This window comes from Homo sapiens, chromosome 9 (genome assembly GCF_000001405.40).
Source record: "Homo sapiens chromosome 9, GRCh38.p14 Primary Assembly".
Taxonomy (NCBI): domain Eukaryota; kingdom Metazoa; phylum Chordata; class Mammalia; order Primates; family Hominidae; genus Homo; species Homo sapiens.
The window spans coordinates 68604501-68626024 of NC_000009.12; the positions used below are offsets into that span (position 1 = coordinate 68604501).

The following is a 21524-nucleotide window of genomic DNA, read 5'->3' on the forward strand; positions in this document are numbered from 1 at the left end:
TACTCAATACAGTGCTATACAGTTGTGAAAAAGAATAACAAATCTCTCTGTGTAATCTATGGGATCATCTCCAAGATATATCCCTTATATCTGGAATCCCCTCAGAGCACCTTCTTTTGAAACAGGCAAGAATAATCAAATCTCTCATACAACAAAGTCCAAATAATACTTTCCCCTCAGGGAGTGGGGCAGAGTTCTCTATCCCTTAAGTGTGGGCTGCAGATGGTGACTTTCTTCCAAAGTGTACAATATGGAAAGAACAGAAAAAAGGGAACATTAGCATGGAAAGATCTGACAGAATCGTACCTCATCCATGTGACCAAGGTCAACATCAACAGTGATCAGTCATGTTGATAGTATGTGTCCCTGATAAGATGTGGTGAGAATGGCATTTTCCCTCTGTGGCCTTCCTCCCAAAACCCATATTCCCAATCTATCAGGAAAACATTTGATAAGCCCCAGTGGAGGGACATTATACAAAATACCCGACTAGTACTTCTCAAAACTGTGAAGGTCAGGCCGGGCACGGTGGCTCACGCCTGTAATCCCAGCACTTTGGGAGGCCGAGGCAGGCAGATCACCTGAGGTCAGGAGTTTGAGACCAGCCTGACCAACATGGAGAAACCCCATCTCTTCTAAAAATACAAAATTATCCGGGCAGGGTGGCGACCTGTAATCCCAGCTACTCGGGAGGCTGAGGCAGGAGAATCGCTTGAACCCGGGAGGCGGAGGTTGCGGTGAACTGAGATCATGCCATGGCCCTCCAGCCTGGGCAACAAGAGCAAAACTCCATCAGAACAAAAACAAAAACAAATGTCAAGGTCATCAAAACCAAAGAAAGTCTGGAAACTGTCACAGTTAGAGGAGCCTGAGGAGACAAGGATGACCAAATGTAATGTGGTATCATGGGTGGGATCTTGGAACAGAAACAGTGCATTAGGTAAACACTAAGGAGCCCTGAATACAGTAAGGACTTCAATTAGTAACAGTGTATAAATATTGGTTCATTAGTTGTGACAAATGTACCATACTAATAATGTAAGATATTAATAAAAGTGGAAACTTCATGAAGTGTGTATGGAAACTCTATCTGTTATCTTTGAAATGCTCTCTAAATTTAAAACTATCCTGAAACAAAAATTGGATTCTAAAAAGTGTCACTTTTCAAACTTGGCTATAGCTTTAAAACAAGCAAATACATACATAGAAAAAGGGAACAATTTAAATTCTATTAACAGTAAGCTTGTTAAACTATGGCATACTCATCTGACACACTGAAAAATAAAAATGAGGTAGGTACAATGTGAAAGGAGTTCCATAATATATTAAGGGAAAAAAAATCAAGGCACAGAACATTGTGCATAGTAAAATCCCTCTTGTATAAATAAATAATTTTTAAAAGATAAAATATAGATCTATTTTTGTATGCTGATATACACATGAAAGATTTTCCAGAAAGATACTAGAAAATATATTTATATTTTTATAAATATAATAAATATATGTTACTTCTGAGTTTAGAACTGGTGCTACAGGGTGGGGAGGGCTTTTAACACTTTCATCTAATGTTGAACTTTGTGTGCGTGTATTTTAATTTTTAAAAATCATCATCCTTTTGGATTACAACTAATCTAGCTTCAGGATTACATACAGCTAAAATTGAAGAGAGGATTTGAAAGGATCTGCATCTCCATGCTATACTTTTTGAGTGTTTCCAAGAAACCCAGCCTGATATTAACCTCTGTCACATTACTCCTTTTTTTTTTTTTTTTGAGACAGAGTCTCGCTCTGTCACCCAGGCTGGAGTGCAATGGTTCAATCTTGGCTCACTGCAGCCTCCGCCTCCCAGGTTCAAGAGAATCTCCTACCTCAGCTCCCCCGAGTAGCTGGGACTATAGGTGTGCACCACAATACCTGGCTAATTTTTGTATTCTTTTAGTAGAGATGAGGTTTCACCATGTTGGCCAGGCTGGTCTTGAACTCCTGACCTCAGGTGATCCACCTGCCTCAGCCTCCCAAAGTGCTGGGATTACAGGTGTGAGCCACCGTGCCCGGCCAACATTACCCATTTTTGATGATTAATTTATGTGTCAACTTGACTGGGCTAAGGGCTGCCAGGATAGCTAGCTGGTAAAATGTTATTTCTGCATGTGTCTGTGAGGGTGTTTCTGGAACAGATTAGCATTTGAATCAGCAAACTGAATAGAGAAGATTATCTTCACCACTGTGGTTGGGTATCATCTAGTCCATGGAGGGTCCAAATAGAACAAAAATGTGGGAAAAAAGCAAATTTGCTCTCTTCTTGAGCTGAGACATTTATATTCTCCCACCATTGGACATCAGTGTTCCTGGTTCTCTGGCCTCTGGACACAGACTGGGACTTACACCAACTGTACCCCGGTTCTCAGGCCTTTTGATTCAGACTGATTCAGACTAAAGTTACACCACCAGCTTTTTTGGTTGTCTAGCTTGCCGATGTCAAATCGTGGAAGTACTCAGCCTCCATAGTTATGTTGGCCAACTCTTACCATAAATACATATGTATACATATGTATTCTGTTATATGTATATATGATTCTGTTTCTCTGGAGAATCCTAATATACCATTAAAGCATTAACATTAATTATCAATTGGATGCCATCATCTTAGAAATCTAAGAGGAATCTTCTGAGAAGTTGGATATGAGAGATCTGCATACTGATGAGTGCATGCAAATGAGCAGTAGGGAGACTGGCACATACGGTGGATGAGCAAATGTTTCCAAGGGATAGGCTGGGTTGACCGGGGGACACACTAGATCATGAGTTATTTGATAAGGCAGAGGAGGCTACAGATGCAGGATGATGTGATTTGAAGGAGACAGACCACAAGGGAAGGGCCTAATATTTACCTTAATAGACTATTGAGCAGTTTTATCTAGCCCAGAGATTCTCAACTCCGGAGGTACATTAGAATCACCTGGGGAACCTTTTTAAGGCTATGTTCTTCAACAGCGGAATAGAGAAACAAATCGTGGCACATCCATATGGAGTAACACTCAGCAATAAAAATGAACTATGGACACGCTGTATCAACCAAACCGATGAATCTCAAATGCATTATGTTAAGTGAAAGAAGCCCGCACTGAAAAACTACATACTACATGATTTCATTCCCATGTCATTCTGCAAAAGACAAGACTATAGGAAAAGAAAACATATCAACAGCTGCCAAGAGCTTGGGGTGAAAGGACAGCTTGACTACAAAGGGGCATAAAAGAATTTGGGAGAGGGCGTGGACCTGTTCTATGTGGATTGTAATAGTTACATGACTGTACGCATATGGCAAAATTTACAAAACTTTACCCTAAATAAGATGAATTTTATTGCATGTAAATTATACTTTAATACAAAAGGCCTTCCCCCAAATATTAGAATTCATTTGGTCTTGGGTGGAGCCTAGAGATTATTTTTTAAAAGCTCCTCAGATGGAAAATATCTGCTTCGGTCTAAGATGGAGTATCAGGGAATGGATTTTCCGTCCCACCTGAGTCAATCAAAAAAAAAAAAAAAAAGAAAAAGAAAAAGAAAAGCAGAGAAAATATATGAAACAATGGGCTTTAAGACACTAACCATCAGGCAACCAAGGATGGTGAACCCTGCAATTTGGAGGGATGGAATACTGCTCTTTATCTTGATTATAGGAATTATTCCATGGGTGTATATACATGTTAAAACTTAGCAAATTGTACATTTTATATGTGTAGTTTATTGTACATCAATTATGCATCATTAAAGGCATTTTCTTTAAGTTCCCCAGGTGATTCCAAACATAATAGCCAGAGTTAAGAACCATCAGCCCCAACATATAACCTTACTTGGCCCTGGAATCCAACATCGTAAGATTCTAATCATTTGAACTCAATGTAATGTGATTGAAGCATATAAAATGTTAAAGTTTATTACAAGTCATACTTTACTTAAACAGAACTCATTTTAGGAACTAAGTTCACACTTGCAGGAATAGTAGTTTTTGACAATGATTCTTTTGATAGTGATTGACATCACTGCTAAAAACAAAAGACAGACACAGAGAGAGAGGCTGGGACCCTAACTGGAAAGATGTTTAAATGTTAGAACAAAACACATTAATACCAACTTCTAGGAAACTTAGAATATGCACAAAAAGCCTTAAAATTGTTCATAACATTTAACCCAGAATTTAAACTAAGGACATAAGAAAAGAGCACAAGTGTGCCACTTCAGCAATGCTATAATAGCAGGAACATGGGAATCTAAAACAACAGCAAAAAAGAAGTGGTTACATGAGTTATAGTATGTGAGTAAAAAGAATAGTACAAGGCCATCTAAAATAATATTGTATAATAATATCTAATGATATCATTAGATACGATATTAGCCCGAGGCTGCAGCAGCGCATCCCCGGGCGCGGCGCCCACCAACACTCACAGTGCAAGGGCTTGGCTCCGAGGGGGCTGGGAGCCCGGGCGCCCTGGAGTGAGGGGGGCCAGGAGCGGGCTCTGGAGGCTGCAGAGGCGACTCTGGAGAGGACGGAGCCTCGGCGGGGAGCGGATGTTTTGAAGATGCTTTGGCTGCCTTGGAGATTTGGAGATCTGATGCCACGATGAGGACTCACACACAGGGGTGCTCCCAGTGTGTTTTTCATATATTTGCTTTGCATTGTGTCAGCCTACATCACCGACGAGAACCCAGAAGTCATGATTCCCTTCACCAATGCCAGCCACAACAGCCACCCCATGCTGTACTTCAGGGCAGAGGTGGCGGAGCTGCAGCTCAGGGCGGCCAGCTGGCAGGAGCACATTGCAGCCCGCCTCACGGAGGATGTGCACACGATGCTGTGCAGCCCCTTGGAATACCTCCCTCCCTGGGATCCCAAGGATTACAGTGCCCGCTAGAACGAAATCTATGGAAACAACTTGGGTGTCTTGGCAATGTTCTGTGTGCTGTATCCTGAGGACACTGAAGCCCAAGACATGGCCAAAGTCTACATGGAGAGGATGGCAGTGCAGCCTATTTGGTTGGTGAAAGATGCTCCTTGGGATGAGGTCCCGCTTGCTCACTCCCTGGTTGGTTTTGCCACTGCTTATGACTTCTTGCACAACTACCTGAGCAAGACACAACAGAAGAAGTTTCTTGAAGTGATTGCCAGTGCCTCAGGGTATATGTATGAAAATTCATACAGGAGAGGACGGGGATTTCAATACCTGCACAATCATCAGCCCACCAACTGCATGGCTTTGCTCACAGGAAGCCTAGTACTGACGAATCAAGGATATCTTCAAGAATCCTGCTTATGGACCAAACAAGTTCTGACCATCATGGAGAAATCTCTGGTCTTGCTCAGGGAGATGATGGATGGCTCCCTCTATGAAAGAGTTGTGTATGGAAGCTACACCACTAGATCACTCTTCCAATACATGTTTCTCATCCAGAGGCACTTCATGTTGGCCATCCGTGGCTTAAACAACACTTTGCATTTATGTATAGAACCATCCTGCCAGGGTTTCAAAGGACTGTGGCTATTGAGGACTCAAATTACAACTGATTTTATGGTCCAGAAAGCCAATTAGTTTTCCTTGATAAATTTATCATGCGTAACAGCAGTGGTAACTGGCTAGCTGACCAAATCAGAAGGAACTGTGTGGTGGAAGGTCCAGGAACACTGTCCAAAGGGCAGCGCCGGTGCACTCTGCACACAGAATTTCTCTGGTATGATGCCAGCTTGAAATCAGTTCCTCCTCCAGACTTTGGCACCCCTACGCTGCATTATTTTGAAGACTGGGTGTCGTGACTTGAAGTGCACTACCTGCTGAAATCAATAAATCTTTCCTCTCTTTCAAGTCTGGAAAACCGGGGGGACATGCAATATGTGACATTGTCCACAGAAACAAATACAAAGATTGGATCAAAGGATGGAGAAATTTTAGGACAGGGCATGAACATTATGATCAAAACTCATTTACTTTTGCTCCCAGTTGTGTGCCTTTCGTTATTGAGGCTCTGTACAGGCCAAAGTACACCTTCTTCAACAATGTTTTGATGTTTTCCGCAGCTGTGTCGAAGAGCTGCTTTTCTCCCTGGAAGGGTCAAGTCACAGAACACTGTTCATCAAAATGGTCTAAATACCAGCATGACCTGGCAGCTAGCTGTCAGGGGAGAGTGGTTGCAGCAGAGGAGAAAAATGGGGTGGTTTTCATCTGAGGAGAAGGTGTGGGAGCTTATAACCTCCAGCTCAACCTGAAGAATGTTCAGAGGAATCTGATCCTCCTACATCCACAGCTGCTTCTCCTTGTAGACCAAATACACCTGGGAGAGGAGAGTCCCCTGGAGACAGCAGCGAGCTTCTTCCACAATGTGGATGTTCCTTTTGAGGAGACTGTGGTAGATGGTGTCCATGGGGCTTTCATCAGGTAGAGAAATGGTCTCTATAAAAAGTACTGGATGGACAATACTGGCTACGGCAAGAAAGCAATATTTGCATCAGTGACATATCCTGGGAGCTATCCCTACAATGGGACAAACTATGTGAATGTCACCATGCACCTCTGAAGTCCCATCACCAGGCCAGCTTACCTCTTCATAGGGTCACTATAGATGTTCAGAGCTTCACCATCCACAGAGACTCTCAGCAACTGGATGTGTTCATAGCCACCAGAGAACATGCCTACGCAATGTACCTGTGGACAGGTGAGGCCGCAGGACAGTCTGCCTTTGCACAGGTCATTGCTGATCATCACAAAATTCTGTTTGACCAGAATTCAGCCATCAAGAGCAGCATTGTCCCTGAGGTGAAGGACTATGCTGCTATTGTGGAACAGAACCTGCAGCATTTTAAGCCAGTGTTTCAGCTGGAGAAGCAGATACTCTCCTGAGTCCAGAACCAGCTAGCTTTAGGAAGACTGCTGACCGGCTGCTGAGATTTTCAGATAAGAGACAGGCTGAAGAGGCCATCGACAGGATTTTTGCCGTAACACAGCAACAGCAGCAGCAAAGCAAGTCAAAGAAAAACCGAAGGGCAGGCGAATGCTATAAATCTGTGGATGCTGTCCCTGATATTTTTGCACAGATTGAGGTCAATGAGAAAAAGATTAGACAGAAAGCTCAGATTCAGGCACAGAAAGAACTACCCATAAATGAAGATGAAGAAATGAAAAACCTCTTAGATTTTGCAGATATAACATATGAGAAACATAAAAATGGGGCTTGAGGAAAGGCCGGGTTGGACAGGCATGGATGGTGACAACTACTCGTAGCAGGGCCTCATCACTATCTGCTTCCTATACCAGATTGTTCCTCATCCTGAACATTGCTATTTTCTTTGTCATGTTGGCAATACAACTGACTTTTTCCAGAGGGCCCACAACCTTTTTCCAGAGGGCCAAAGATGTCTTTATGCAGTTCTTCTAACAGATAGCTGTATTTTATTGTGGTTGTACTCTTCTTGTTCCCAATCACAGTGTTAGCACTGAAGCTATAAGTTGCCTGGTCATTTTGTGATCATAAAAGTCCATGAAAAAAAAATTTATTACCCCAGTTTATCAGATTTTTTCCCTCAGATTCATTTTAACAAATTAAGGGAAGATATTTTGACACAAGAAAGCAGGAACATGGAGAAATTGGAGCAGGAAAGGAATTTATCAAGGCAATAGGAATAGCTTGGTGGTCCTATGGTGTTTCCAGAAGTATTTGGCATTGCAATTGAGCAGTCCAAGTAGTACTACTTTTAGAAGAAACAAAAAGTCTGTTTTTTAAAGTAATGTTTTTTCTTATGAGAAAAAGGTTTAGATAGAATTGGGTTTTATTCATATTAATTTAATGCTATTAGCAATTTCCATATACTATATTATGGAAAAGACTGAAGAACACAATTCTGAGAAATATTTTAAAAATTTTAATGGTATAGTCATGTTGAAAGATAAATGTTGGCTGGGTGCAGTGGCTCACGCCTGTAATCTCAGCACTTTGGGAGGCTGAGGCGGAGGGATCACGAGGTCAAGAGATGGAGACCATCCTGGCCAACATGGTGAAACTCTGTCTCTACTAAAAATACAAAAATTAGCTGGGCATGGTGACGCGTGCTTGTAATCCCAGCTACTCGGGAGGCTGAGGCAGAAGACTCGCTTGAACCAGGGAGGCAGAGGTTGCAGTGAGCCAAGATCGCACCACTGCACTCCAGCCTAGCAACAGAGTGAGACCCTGTCTCAAAAAAAAAAAAAGCTAAATGTTGTAAGTCCTGGTATGATGGTGTCAGCTTCCTTGGGGAAGTACTTCTTTAGTTATGTAGCTAACGAGATCTTTTACTACAGATCTGGATGGCTATTCAGATAACATAGCAAAAATGATAGCAGAAGATCATCAAAAACTTAAAATATATTTTATTAGAAAACATGTATCTATGAATGAGTATTTCCTTGATGCTAGTCTCTGCACACATATAATTTGTTACTTGTATGCATTCATTGGTTGTTCAGTATGTAAGACAATTACAAATAACTTAATACTGTATTTTCCTTGTATGGAAAACTGTTGTAGACCCAATGACTAAAACTTTCAAAATAAAATATTTTCTATTATGAAAAAAAAAGAATATCTAATGACAAGAGAAATTCTGTTAGATAAGTTGCTTTTGGCTATAAGTAACAGAAAAATTTAAACAGCATAAACAATATAGCTATTTATTTTACCATCTGTCAAGATGTCCAGTTTGGGAATGGTTGCAACATCGGTTAATTCAGAAGTTTAACAAAGGAATAGCAGTCCTGGTTCTGATCTTGTTCATCAGCTGATCTTGTTCATCAAGCTTGCTCCCCCATCCCCCATGTTTGCAAATTGGCTGCCATTGTTTCAGATACATTCAGACAATACCCAGACTTGAAAACGGAAGTTTCTTCCTACAAGTCATTTTTTTTTAAAGAGCAAAGAAACTTTTCCCAGACATTCCCTAAGGACTTCCCTGATGTCTCTTTGGCCAAAATAATGTCACATGCTTACTCCCAAGTCCATCACTGACAAGGTGAAAGGAATGATTAAGAATGACCTAGACCAATTAAGTTTCATTCCCTCAGGCTGGAGAAGGTTCCAGCTTTCCCTACAGCACATGGCTGTCCTATGTCTCAACAAAATCAGGGTTGGCTCACAAACCAGAATGGAGAGAATTGGCTGTTAACTAGACTACCGTCAGGTAACACAACAGTAAATGCAACATATTTCCATTTGTATAAAGAAAAGTGAATATAGATAGGTCTATAAAGAATAAAAGCCTATGCATATTTTAAAATATTATTCATGTTGTTGGGATTATAGAAAATATTTATTTTTCTTGTTTCTGCTTTTCTTTTTTTCCTAAATGTTCTGCAATGAATATGTAATATATTTGAAGTCTATTTGTGCCCTCCCCCCACCAAAAATATATCCAAGAAAGGTTACTTTAAAATAAAACATTTATAGTCCTTGCCAGGTCTTTTTTTTTTTTTCTTTTAAAGTAAGTATTAAGAGCAGTTATGTAAAATCAAACTCAGAGGTTTCATTCAGTTGAGGCTAGAATGTGTCTGATGCAGCCTCCAAAGACATGGAGCCTCCTGCACTCGCATGAGTCCCAGGACCCTGAGGCCCCACGGAGATGTCAGCAATTTTATCCCAGGGGCTACTCTTGCTGCTTAGAAGACGATGTCCTGTGACTTATCTTCCCAAACTGGAAGGTTGGACAGTACAAACCAGATTCTAAACCAGTTCTCAGTGTCAAGGCCAAGAAGATATCAGACCTGTCTAGGGAACAGGGTTACACTGAGACTTTCGGTTCCACCACAAGCAGGAAGACAGAGCTGGAGGAATGAAAACAGAAGGCACAGCAAAAAAGACAATTAAAGAGCAGCGAAGTCACTCTATGCCTCTAGACACATGTCCAATAACTTGGCATAAAAGCACATGCATTTTGTGACCAAGTTGGACTGGAATTCTGTCCTGGTGTACTCTGCATGTCACCTGTAGACACTTCTCAGCCTGTACCCGGGATTCAAAAAGTTGAGGGCGATCAAGAATGAGGAAAGATATTTCTGCAGCCAAAGCAGGGACAGTCCACATTCACTCAGCAAATCTCTGACCCTCTGCATGAAACCCCAGTGGCCACCTCCAGCCCAGTCCTGGCGACACAGAGCAGGCAGTGCCCTCAAGGAGATGAGAGACGCAACCCAAGTGGAAAAGACTCGAGCTTTAGAGCAACACAGACCTCAGCTCCAATCGGACGTCACCAATTGCTAGTTGTGCAAACTTCGGCAAGCCACTTCACCACCCTGTGCCTCAGTTTCTTCACGTGTAAAATGAGAATAAGGCTTTTTAAGTATTCATCGAGTTCGCTTATGCAAAGTGTGACGAACCTCAGCTCAGCATAATTGAGTGAAGAAGCTGGAAGGGCAGTAATGGCCTCCAAATGCACCTCCAACAGCCACCCAGGAAATCCCGCCCTTGCTTTCGCCTCAGACTCTGGGCACAAAAATTAATCAAGAGCTCTGAGGCCGGAAATCTGGAGCTGTCAGATTCACTCTTCTGGATTGAACTTTTAATGGAGGTGGATCACTGGGGCTTGCTCTTGCCAGATAAATAAATGGTACTTTAAAAATTATACCCAGCTAACAAAACCTGCTCACAGCCACACCACTGGTGCTGGGGAAGCGAGCTCTGACTCCGAAGAACAAATCACGCCTGAGGGGCCTGAGTGGAGAAAGTAAGGTTAAATCACTGGAACCACGTATCCATCTGCAACGGACTGTGTGGGTGGTGTGCATGAAAAGAACAGAGAAGAAGGTAGGAGAAGCTGCAGGAGGCAGAAACTGGAGGGGAGGCTCTGTCTTTGGAGTAGCTGCCACTTTGATATCTCTCTTTTTTTGGAAATGCTCTCTGCTGCTACTTGTTTGGGAGTTTAGCACAGCTAGAGAAATGGCTCATGAAGCTTGAGGTGAGGTGGAGATGAATTCCCTCTAATGAAAATCCCTGAGCCATCAAAGTGCTTCATTAGTTCCACACAAGACCTCTAAGGTGCGCAATGGACATACGGGGCTCTTCAGTGAAAAGATTATTCCCCGTGTGCTCATCTGGACACTAAATTCTGGTTTAATCACTATTAAAACTGTCCTGAGAGAAAAAATGGGGCATGTGAAAATGAGAACACTCAAGGTCATATTTATCCACATTGTTTAGAGTGAAAAGTGTAGCTCATACAAAGCTTGCCTGGCTACTGAAACCACTTCATTGAAAAAAAAAAGGCCAATAAATATGTCCAAGCCTTTGTACTTCCATTTTTGTAATCTAAAATGTTTTGGTTTGTTTTAGTATTTTATCTAAGAAAAAGAATGTGTTTGGGGCCAGGAGCAGTGCCTCATGCCTGCAATTCCAGCACTTTGGGAGGCCGAGGCGGGCAGATCGCCTGAGGTCAGGAGTTCTAGACCAGCCTGGCCAGCATGGTGAAACCCTGTCTCTACTAAAAATACAAAAATTAGCCAGGCATGGTGGCACATGCCTGTAATTCCAGCTACTTGGGAGGCTGAGGCAGGGGAATTGCTGGAACCTGGAAGGCGGAGGTTGCAGGGAGCCAAGATTGTGCCACTGCACTCCAGCCTGGGTGACAGAGCGATACTCTCCGTCTGAAAAAAAAAAAAAAAAAAGCAAATAAAAAGAATGTGTTTGTAAACTTTCAAGATATTTTACAAGTTTGTGTTTTGATGATAGTGAATTAGTGATATCTAATATCATCACTTGATAATAGTGATGGTGGTACAATAGCCAGAGAGTTCAAACCTTCTGCTTGCGAATTGGGAAACTGAGACCCAGAGAGATGAAAGGACTTACTCAGGACACAGAAATTGCCACTGGCTGACCTAGGTCTGGAGCCCAGGGCTTTGTGTAAATATATAAATATTTATGGATTTAGGTATGTACTTATTAATTTTTAAATAGTAACTAACCTTCATCTCACAGTGAGTACATGTCCATATTTTAAAGAGTCAAACAGCACTATGTGGTTTATAACAGAAAACAGTGGTCTCAAACCCTAAATGCAGGCAACTGCTTTCAAATCTGTCCCATGCTTCCTCTGACACATGCCTCCCTTTTTTTATTATTATTATTTTTTGAGATGGAGTCTCGCTCTGTTGCCCAGGCTGGAGTGCAGTGGTGCGATCCCAGCTAATTTTTCATATTTTTAGTAGAGACGGGGTTTGGCCATGTTGGCCAGGCTGGTCTCGAACTCGGGACCTCAGGGGATCCACCTGCTTCAGCCTCCCAAAGTTCTGGGATTACAGGTGTGAGCTATCATGCATGGCTGCCTCTGAGAAGTGACAGCGTGCTGGCAGTCCTCACAGCCCTCGCTCGCTCTTGGTGCCACCTCTGCCTGGGCTCCCACTTTGGCAGCACTTGAGGAGCCCTTCAGCTCACCGCTGCACTGTGGGAGCCCCTTTCTGGGCTGGCCAAGGCCGGAGCCGGCTCCCTCAGCTTGCAGGGAGGTGTGGAGGGAAAGGCGCGAGTGGGAACCGGGGCTGCCCGCGGCGCTTGCGGGCCAGCTGGAGTTCCGGGTGGGCGTGGGCTTGGCGGGCCCCACACTCGGAGCAGCCCGCCGGCCCTGCCAGCCCTGGGCAATGAGGGGCTCAGCACCCGGACCAGCGGCTGCGGAGGGTGTACTGGGTCCCCCAGCAGTGCCAGCCCACCGGCGCTGCGCTGGATTTCTCGCCGGGCCTTAGCTGCCTTCCCGCGGGGCAGGGCTTGGGACCTGCAGCCCGCCAGGCCTGAGCCTCCCACCCCCTCCGTGGGCTCCTGTGCGGCCCAAGCCTCCCCGATGAGCGCGGCCCCCTGCTCCACGGCGCCCAGTCCCATCGACCACCCAAGGGCTGAGGAGTGCAGGCGCACGGCGCAGGACTGGCAGGCAGCTCCACCTGCAGCCCTGGTGCCGGATCCACTGGGTGAAGCCAGCTGGGCTCCTGAGTCTGGTGGGGACATGGAGAACCTTTATGTCTAGCTCAGGGATTCTAAATACACCAATTGGCACTCTGTATCTAGCTCAAGGTTTGTAAACACACCAATCAGCACCCTGTGTCTAGCTCAGGGTTTGTGAATGCACCAATGGACACTCTGTATCTAGCTACTCTGGTGGGGCCTTGGAGAACCTTTGTGTGGACACTCTGTATCTAGCTAATCTGGTGGGGACGTGGAGAACCTTTATGTCCAGCTCAGGGATTGTAAACGCACCAATCAGCGCCCTGTCAAAACAGACCACTGGCTCTACCAATCAGCAGGATGTGGGTGGGGCCAGATAAGAGAACAAAAGCAGGCTGCCCGAGCCGGCAGTGGCAACCCGCTCTGGTCCCCTTCTACAGTGTGGAAGCTTTGTTCTTTCGCTCTTTGCAATAAATCTTGCTGCTGATCACACTTTGGGTCCACACTGCCTTTATGAGCTGTAGCCAGCTCATAAAGCCAGCTTCAACTCCTGAAGCCAGCAAGACCACGAACCCACCAGAAGGAAGAAACTCCGAACACATCCGAACATCAGAAGGAACAAACTCCTAACACGCCGCCTTTAAGAACTGTTAACACTCACCGCGAGGGTTGGCGGCTTCATTCTTGAAGTCAGTGAGACCAAGCACCCACCAATTCCGGACACACCTCCATATTTTAAAATAACCTACTGATAGTAGATTTCTTGTTGTTACCACTTTTAGGCATAATCTATTGATATCCTAATTTGAAAAACGAAGAGTTATCCTCTCCTGACTTCTCCTCCTCTGTTCTACCTATATTTGGCAATTATTTTTAAATTTCTGATTCAATCAGTAATTAGTAAATAAATTATTACAACCCTGCACATCTTCTCTGCTGAGTCTATTATGACTTCATTTTTTTCTTTTTGAATTTTTTTCTTGTTTATGGAGTTAGTAATTGCCTTATGTATATATTTTTTCTTTTGCTTAGTCGTGCACTGTCATGAATTCTCAAACTCTCCAGTAGAATGTACTCTCCCTCTCAGCACTATTTTCCGTATATGTCTGGTTCCCTAGCAGTTTTACACTGTTCCTGATTATGTCTCCCTTTGAGTCCGGTTCTCCTGCTGCAGACTAGCCAGTTACTTACAAGGCTCTGCCCAGACTTCAAGCTGGGAAAATCCTTCACAGGAATCCCCTCTGTCTTAGGTTGGATTCTCCTGTTTCCTAGACCACATGTATTCTTCTTGGACAAATAATTCATTCATTTTGGTGAAGTACTGCCAGAGAAAAGATTCATAGCATACAAATTTTTGTGAAAATGACGGCATTCTACCCTCATATTCAATTGATAGTTTGGCTAGGTATAGACTTTTCTACCTAATTGATAGTTTAGCTGTGTCTAAACTTTTCCTTCAGAAGTTTGAAGGCTTTGCCCCTTGGATAGATATCTAGCTGCCAATGTTGCATTTGGGAATTTTGATGTCATTCTGATTCCCATTTTTTTAAATATAATATGTTTCTAGAATGTTCTCTTTATCCCTTTGGAGAGGAAAAATGTATTGAATATTTATTATGTATTAGACCTATTCAAAGCTATGCACTTATCTTGACAGTCCTTACAAAAAAAAAAAAAGTGAAAATTACTTTTCCTCTTTTTCAATAATAGAATTGAAACTCAGGGAGGGTATGTAATCTGCCTGATGCATGGGGCCTGTCACTGTAGGTTATGCTGTAGTGACAACCCTAAAACCTCAGAAAACTTGCTCATGCATATTATATGTTTGACATGAGTTATTAGCGGTCTCAGCTTATCAAAGTCACTCAGGGACGCTAGTTCTGGAGGTTCTAACAACATGTGCATCCATGCTCAATGCTGCAGGGAAAAGGAAACACGGCAAGTCACTTAATCATCGTCAAAGTTTCTGCCTGAAAGTAACACAGGCCACTCCTTTCCATGTCCAATTGCCTAAACCCTGTGACATGGGCACACATAACTTTAAAGGCAGTGGTAGTATTTCCATGAGGGAATTCCTTCCTGGCAGTTTTCTGTAAATGTATATGTTTTTCCAAATTCCAAGTCCCAGTGAAATTTAGTCGACAAGGTGGGAAAACAGAAAACGAGTATTATGATTCTTCCATAAGAATTAAAGCATAGGAATTAACATAGACATGTTACTCATGTTGATTCGAAAAGCAAGACCAAAAAATGCTAATGGGGAAAATCAAAGGTTAAGGTCAACATTTCTGGGAACCAGGATAGGAGGAGGGACTAGAGAAGTGAGAATCATCTAATCAGTCTTGTTTGTAGCATTGTTATATTGTAAGTGTGTATTCATGGCTTTGCCTGCTGGGTGACTCATTCTTGCAAATAAAGTAAACATCAGTAAGTTTGTATGTGTAGTGTACTTCATACAAATCCTATGAGTGATGTTCTAAGAAACCAGTTTTGAAAACAAATGTCCTTAAATTGGCAGTTTCAATGCATGGTTCTATTTAGTGCTGTTAACTTTGCTAAGGGATCTGAATGTCATATTATTTGAATACAACCCAGTAATGTTGACTGGTGTTTTTCAGTTTTTGAATATTCCCTCTAGGCTACAGTTCTTTGTAAATATTTTAACTGAAGAAATGCAAGGAGCAGATGATATGAATGTTGTGGAAGACTCCGACAGGAAATCAGAGACTGTACAAAAACCTGAATTAGCAAAAGCAATATCAATTTCAATGGCAAAATCAAAACCAGAACTAGCAGACAAGAAAAGCAAATATTTTTATTTTCATTATTAAAAAAACAAATAACTTACATGAAGTAATAGGTGTTCTAAAACTCAGCTTGAAGATGCTTTTGTATGCAATCCTCACAATTGAACAAATGTCCATGCAAGGCAGGAAATTGGCTAGGCAAATAATTCTTTGTGGGTTCTACATTTTCATTTTAATAATGATAACTTATAGAAGTATTTGTGGTAATATATTTCATTTTAGTAATAATTTTTACTTGCTATTTATCTTATGTTATTATCTCCATCTTTTAATATTTTCTAGTATCAGATGTCTATATGAAGAAGATTATTTTTACATGTTACTGAAACATATATTCTTGTTGGAATAAATCAGTTCACAGTAATAATACGCCATCCATTTATTATTATGTCATTTCTAATAGAAAACTTCTGATAGCATAACCCTATCACAGAAAAATGACTTAGTATTCACAATTATGGCCGCTCATTATTATACAAATACATGTAAAAAAAGATTATGAAAAATGAATAATTTATGACTTCAGGGTTCCTGAGAACTAAAAATCCTGACTTGTTCCCCAATCCCAAAGACCTATGCCTCTTGGAAATTTGAAAATACTAAGCAGTGCAAGATATAATACTACCAAATGCCTGAAATGACCACAGCCATAAATATTTATTTGGTGAATAGTACTAAGTACAACCCAAATAGTCGTGCCAGAATCCAAATCCAGGTTTCTTATTCCAGAACTCATGTTCTGTCTTCTACTCAAACTTCCTCTATTGTCACTAATTGTGTATTAGTATTTATTTGCTCATTAGATTATTCCAGGATTCATTCATTTATCCAACAAGTATTTGCTAAACCCCATGTGTATAGGAATCACATTGGTCTCACACAGTGATGTTCATAATTATTTATTGAATACCTGACTACCAGACACTAAAGGTATTATAGAGCATGAAACAGTAGTCCTAAAAGAATGAGGCACAGGACACTTTCGATTGGGAATAGAAGGTAAAATCTAGAAAACAGTGGGACAATTGGGATCTAGAGTGTGGTAGATGGTCGGGCGCGGTGGCTCATGCCTGTAATCCCAGCACTTTGGGAGGCCGAGGTAGGTGGATCACCTGCAGTCAGGAGTTCCAGACCAGCCTGGCCAACATAGGGAAACCCTATCTCTACTAAAAATACAAAAATTAGCCATGTGTGGTATTAGGCGCCTGTAATCCCAGCTACTCAGGAGGCTGAAGCAGAAGAATGGCTAGAACGTGAGAGGTGGAGGTTGCAGTGAGCCAAGATCATGCCTGGGAGATAGAGAGAGACACTGTCAAAAAAAAAAAAAAAAAAAGAAAAGAAAAGAAAAGAAAAGAAAAGAAAAAAGAAAAAGAAAAAGAAAAGTGTGGTAGATGGCTTCTGAAGTCACACCTAGCAATGTAAATGTGAGGAAGGAAGGAAGGAAGGGAGGGAGGGAGGGAGGGAGGGAGGGAGGGAGGGAGGGAAGGTCCTAAAATGAAGGAGGTGGGCTTCTAGGAGAAAGATGAGAGCTTGCTGAGACATACAACACACTGAGTAGGAACATGGTCTTTGACATCTGATAGTGCTGCTTTTAATTCCTAATTTTTTGGGCCAGGCACGGTAACTCACGCCTGTAATTCCAGCACTTTGGGAGGCTAAGGTAGGAGGACTGCTTGAGCCTAGGAGTTCAAGAGCAGTCTGAGCAATACAGTGAGATTTCATTGCTACAAAAAAAAAATTAATTTTAAAAATCCAAATCTTGTGATCTTAATCAAGTTGCTGAAGTGCTCTGTGCCTCAGTTTTCTCATTTGCAAAATGGGAACAAAATAATTAATTTTAAAGCTTATTGTATGAGTTAAATATAAAGAAAACTCTTAATATAGTACCTGGGACACAGTAAATACTCAGTAAGAGGTAGCTATTAATCATACTTTATCGTTCTGCCTAGCTCTCAACATTCTTGAGGATTTTTAAACATTTATAAGAAATGTGCCTTACAGATTTTTAAAAGTTTCTTCAATGGACGAAGAGTTCTGGCCTAAGGAGAGAATATTTAAAATGTAGTCTGACTTTTTGGAGAGAAAAAGTAGCCAAGATCTCATATTTCTCTGCATGTTTGTCCCAAAACCACTAATATAGCATAAAAACAGAGGAATGTGCTTGCTCTGAGATTTGGGATGCACATGCTAGTCAGAAAGAGTAAACAAATAGGCCAGGCGCAGTGGCTCACGCCTGTAATCCCAGCACTTTGGGAGGCCAAGGCGGGTGGATCGCCTGAGGTCAGGAGTTCGAGACCAGCCTGGCCAACATTGTGAAACCCCGTCTCTACTAAAAATACAAAAATTGGCCAGGCATGGTGGTAGGCGCTTATAATCCCAGCTACTTGGGAGGCTGAGTCAGGAGAATCACTTGAACCTGGCAGGCAGAGGTTGCAGTGAGCCCAGATTGCACCACTTCACTCTAGCCTGGGCAAAAGAGTGAAACTCTGTCATATCCAATGTGTTTGCAATATCTTTTCTCTCAAGATATAATAAATGTGGGCTGGGCGCAGTGGCTCATGCCTGTAATCCCAACACTTTGGGAGGCTGGGGCAGATGGATCGCCTGAGGTCGGGAGTTCAAGACCAGCCTGGCCAGCATGGTAAAACCCCGTCTCTACTAAAAATACAAAAATTAGCTGGGCGTGGTGGCAGCCACCTGTAATCCCAGCTACTCGGGAGTCTGAGGCAGGAGAATCACTTGAACCCGAGAGGTGGAGGTTGCAGTGAGCTGAGACTGTGCCATTACAATCCAGCCTAGGCAACAGAGCAAGACTCCATCTCAAAAAAATAAAAGATAGAATAAATGTGGTAGCCATTCTTATTCAAGCCCGTTGTGAGATCATGGTGCATCCCATGTTTGCTTATCTTTTTCAATGGCTTCACCTGTCCTGAAGAACAAACTGTTCAAGGTACTTCTCTTCCAACTAAGAAGAGGATCCACAGCTTGGGGGCAGCTTTATCCAGTTAGAGTCCTGGAAATGACCAAGTCAAGATTGCTTCCATGATTTCCCAAGAGATGATTACTTTGTATGCCTACAAAACACATTCCAGACATATGTCAGCTTGTGCCCAGCTTGATCTGTCTGGCCAGAAACGAGGCAAGAAAGAGGTGCCATCGTGGAAATTTCCCTCCAACTCTGTGTTGTAGGGACCTTGTACACCATGTTAGAGAATTTAGACTTACCACTTTAACCAATGGTCCTTAAAGCAATGGAGAGCTACCAAAGGGCTTAATGGGGGTTAGGTTTGGGAGGACATGATCAGATTTATACTTCAGAAAGGTCACTCTGGCTGAAGTGAGAAGAATGGATTGCAGCACAGAAAACCTTAGAGGCAGGAGGAGAGGCAGGAGGAGAGGCAGAAGGCTATTGCAGAAGACCGAGTGAGAGGTGAAGGTAGCCTAGACCAGGTGGTGGTGATAGAGATGGAGAAAGGGGGACAAATTCTTGGAGATGTTTGGAAAGTCTCATCACACAGGATTTAGTTGTTGATTAGATGTGGAGAAGGGGGAAGAGGAAGGAGTAACAGAATGCTGCTCAGATTTTTGGCTGGGGCATCTGAGTAAATGGCAGTGAATTCACTGAAATTGGAATGCTGGTGTAAGCACAGGTTGGTAGGAGTCAGCAAGTTCAGTTTAGGACATGCTCATTTAGAGCAACCCATGGAACCTCCAAGTGGAGATGCAGGTCGTCAGCTCTCTGATTCTCAGTGTAGGGCTCTCTTTGCTTCTCCATAGCTGCTTTATCCCCCAGGAACATCTCAGACTTGAGGATGGAGGGGAGGAGATGCTATCAGGGATCTTTAGTCATAGCTGGCATATATGGGCCCAGATGGTTTGGCTGGGGGATCCCTTTTGGTGTTAGGGGGGATAATGTGTGGGGGTGGGGAGTGCAGCGAGGAAACCTTGATATGAAAATATTCTCATTTCCAAAAGCACTGATCCACTATAACAATATTGTAATTGATTCAGGCAAGGGCCATGGATGGATGCTAAAACAAGTTTGTTTGTAAACAAGCTATTTACCCAGTCTAAAATTATCCTCCTGAAGATTATTACCACAAAGGAAAAATGTTTTAGAGTGAAGAAATCTGGGTGACACCACCAGTACCTCCCCATAGATTATTTATTCTAAAGAGGGAGAGATTCCCCAGAAGTGGAGCAGTCACACGGATACTACTTTAACCACATGATCAAAGTTACCTTCACCACCAATGGGGCAAACTGACATCAGGTGCCCCCTAATGTGACACACTGAGAAGGACACAGTGTGTGCATAATTTGAATCTCACACCAGACAAATCCCAGAGATATGTTACAGAAAAATAGGCCTGCACTCTTCAAAAATGCTGGTGTCTTAAAAGACAAAAATTGGGAGCCTTTTCATTCTCAAATAAAAGAGACTAAAGAAGCAACTGGCTTCTTAGACAACTGGCTGGGTGCGGTGGCTCAAGTCTGTAATCCCCACACTTTGGGAGGCCGAGGTGGGCAGATCACGAGATCAGGAGATGGAGACCATCCTGGCTAACACGGTGAAACCCCGTCTCTACTAAAAATACAAAAAACTAGCTGGGCGTGGTGGTGGGCGCCTGTAGCTACTTGGGAGGCTGAGGCAGGAGAATGGCGTGAACCCGGGAGGCGGAGCTTGCAGTGAGCCGAGATAGCACACTGCACTCCAGCCTGGGCAACAGAGCAAGACTCCGTCTCAAAAAAAAAAAAAAAAAAAAAAAAAAGCATGACAACTATGTAGAAATACAAAGTCCTGGGTTGGGAAAACATGTTATAAACCCCAATATTGGAAAGACTGGCAAAACTTGGATATGATTGTATTCAGTAAGAGATTCAAAGCTGTGTTAAATTTCCTAAATTTGATCATTGCACTATGTCTTTGTTTTTAGGAGACACTTGCCAATGTGTTTAGGTGGGAAAGGTCATGATATCTGCAACTTATCTCAAATAGTTCCTAACAATAATAATAATAATAAATGTACATATAGAGAAAGCAAATATAGCAAAATGTCAATAACTGGTGAATGTAGGTGAGAGTATACAGGGGTTTGACATATTCTTTTTGCAACTTTTCTAGGAGTTATATATTTTTTTTCAAAAGGAAAAGAAGCACAAGCCGAGGGAGTTCTAAACATTGAAGACTCTAACCAGTGTTTTTTTTTAAGGTCAAATATTTTAATATTATTTTTTCTAGCCACTAAATTCCATCTTAATGAAATGTCAAAATAGGAAACAGGTGAAGGAGTAATTTCCTGCACTGCCAGGCTCCTAAGAATGTACAGTATTAGCTTCAATTTCAAACCTGCAGTGTTTAGAAAGGAATTTGTTTTCTTTTAAATCCAGGTACCAAAGTTGAAAGCCCCGAATGCTCACAGAGCAGCTGGAACAAGAATTACTGCCTGCAGGCGCTTCTGTCCACCAGCCACGTGTCAGTGAGTGGCCCTGGACCCAGCCAGGTTGTGTGTGCACCTGCGGTTCTTGCCATGGGGAGCAGGAGCCATTTGGCTGCTCCTCTTCATAGGGCACCACCTGCAATCTTTCACTGCCCAGGTAAGCAGAGCATAGGAAGTCAGGGAATCAGAGCACTGAATGGATCTTGGAAAGCACCCAGTCCAACTCTCCCCACCTTCCCATCTGTGGCATTAATCACCTCTATAACGTTGTAACCAACTGGTCAACCAGCCTCTATTTGAACATAGCCAGTGGCTAAAACGTCTAAGCAGCTCA

At 42.6% G+C, this 21524-nt stretch overlaps 1 long non-coding RNA gene and 1 pseudogene across 1 annotated transcript in view, besides 1 other annotated feature; both read left to right on the forward strand.

Annotated features, from left to right (window-relative positions):
- Positions 1-21524, forward strand: part of TMEM252-DT (TMEM252 divergent transcript) — a 103426-nt gene that overhangs the window by 63476 nt on the left and 18426 nt on the right. The window contains exon 3 of the long non-coding RNA NR_187592.1: positions 21141-21347. This is a non-coding gene — a long non-coding RNA (TMEM252 divergent transcript). The remainder of the gene's footprint in view (positions 1-21140; positions 21348-21524) is intronic.
- Positions 4399-7881, forward strand: LOC347097 (dermatan sulfate epimerase pseudogene; annotated as a pseudogene).
- Positions 12281-12782: an enhancer, noted in NCBI's record as "H3K4me1 hESC enhancer chr9:71231697-71232198 (GRCh37/hg19 assembly coordinates)". NCBI's record gives its function as "activates a minimal SCP1, AML or CMV promoter by ChIP-STARR-seq in naive H9 embryonic stem cells {active_cell/tissue: H9 hESC(naive)}" and the evidence as "EXISTENCE:reporter gene assay evidence [ECO:0000049][PMID:30033119]".